A 1,983-nucleotide genomic window follows, 5' to 3' on the forward strand; every position below is an offset into this window, starting at 1 on the left:
TTGAGAAACAGTGTGAAGGCCCTTAGATTACAAGTAGCTTGACATAGTGGAGGGAAGGAAAGAAGACCGTGTAGCTGGAGCAGAGTGTTCAATGAGAAGAGTAGTCAGGAACTGATGTTGGGAAAGAAAGGAAGTGGAGCCCAGATCTCATAGGATCCTATAGGCCATGCCAAGGGTTTTTATTTTATTCAAAGTGTGATGTGAGTATAATGATGCATTTTGAGTAGAAAATGCAGACATTTATCATAGATGTGGGTAAAGTCTATGGGCTATGGTGGTGTTGGGCAGTGGAGAGAAGAGTGAAGTGTAGGTACTGCACAGGAGGCCATTGGGGTAGAACAGGTGAGGGAGGTGAGAACTGGCACTCAATAGAGACATGGAGGGCGTGAGAAGTGGATGAAATTCAGGATGGATCCAGGGGATAGAGCTTTGGGGCCTGAAATGAAGTTACAGTTGCTGCCTTGACATCTTTAAGCTTCACAGTGCCCCAGAGTCTTCACTGCAAGTTTCCCTGCTATTACACTCCCCACCCACTAGTCCCTGCAGCAGTTGGACCAGCTACACTCTAACAGGTCCTCAACCCAACAGGTTTGACTTCCCTGCCAGCCTGTGAAATTGTTCAAACCAGTTAATCATATTCTCCTATGGGAAACGGGGGTCACTGCACCCTCTTGTTACTACAGAGTCTCTCCCCAGCAGCCCCTGCTTGTTTACTCTGTTCCAGCATGCAACCTGTGGGACCCTGCATGGTATGCATGGTACTTTATCCTGGGCTGTGAGAATGTATGACAGATCAACTGCTGCTACTTTCATCTCCAGTGTTGGGTTGCTTGTATTTGTCCATGTTGTGCTAATTGAAGCAAGGAATCCCTCCCTCACCAATGGAGTGAATAGGAGGCAATCAGAACAATGGATGGCAAAAGCAGGATGGCCCAACCACCACCAAGAACTTGTAGCTTTAGTTATCTGCTCTTTGCTAACCAGCTGGTTCTGGATAGGGCCAGAATGTCTGCACTATAAGTGACTGGATGGAGACAGAAACTGAAATTCGTGGCTTAATGCAGCCAGAAACCAAAATACAGTGAGGAAATTTGTACAGAAAGAAAATAAGTAGGTGAGGGGAGCCCACCCTGCAGGAAAAGGCAGTGTTGTAGCAGAGGCTGGTTTCTATTCCCCAGCCTCTGGGCTGTGGGCCAGCACTGTTTTGCTGCATCACTGGGCTGCCTGTGGCTTTGTCACAACAGAGGCTAATCCTCAGGGTTAGAACAATACCCCAAACAACAAAACACTCATGGTATCCCTGTGGCATAGCAAAGGTGTTTATGCAAACCTGACTTAAACCTAGGGCCCTTAAACCATAACAATTGCCACCTGGGAGGCACCTAAGCCTGACAATACTGAGGCTCTCTGGAAGAAGACTTTTTATAAATATAGGCAGAGTAGAGGCGACCCTCCCTATTGAAGTATATCCAGTGACAAACAGAAAAAAGGAGGGAGAGAAAGAAACCTGGATACAGGAGGAGAGAAAATTTAAACATATGTGCATATACATGTTTAAATTTATGTAATTTATATATATGTAATTAAATTAAATCATAGGTCCACAATTTGGCCCAATTTGAAATTCAAAATTTACTAGAAATAATTTAAACAGCAAAAAGATAAAGAAGTGTTAATTGGCTTTAGTGTCTCTATGATATAGGTTCTGAATTCACTTTAACATCTGTTGAAATTAACAATTCATGGACCTTCATATACTTCAACACTGGGGCTCAAATTATTGTTATATCTGGAGGTGGGGTGCCACTAACTTTACACAAGGTACCGCTATAATCTTGGGAGAGTTACTGAATATAAAATAAAGAACAAATAGGTATGCCTCACCTTAACCATCAAAGCTATTGCTTTGGGAAATAAATTCCCATGGTCATAGCACCCATTGCTCTAAAATGTCTCACAGTAAGCATGGATAATCTGACTCAA

The 1,983-nt window shown here is 43.4% G+C and overlaps 1 annotated feature.

Annotated features, from left to right (window-relative positions):
- Positions 954-1,616: an enhancer, noted in NCBI's record as "OCT4-NANOG-H3K27ac hESC enhancer chr13:53917362-53918024 (GRCh37/hg19 assembly coordinates)". NCBI's record gives its function as "activates a minimal SCP1, AML or CMV promoter by ChIP-STARR-seq in naive H9 embryonic stem cells {active_cell/tissue: H9 hESC(naive)}" and the evidence as "EXISTENCE:reporter gene assay evidence [ECO:0000049][PMID:30033119]".

This window comes from Homo sapiens, chromosome 13, assembly GCF_000001405.40.
Source record: "Homo sapiens chromosome 13, GRCh38.p14 Primary Assembly".
Classification (NCBI taxonomy): domain Eukaryota; kingdom Metazoa; phylum Chordata; class Mammalia; order Primates; family Hominidae; genus Homo; species Homo sapiens.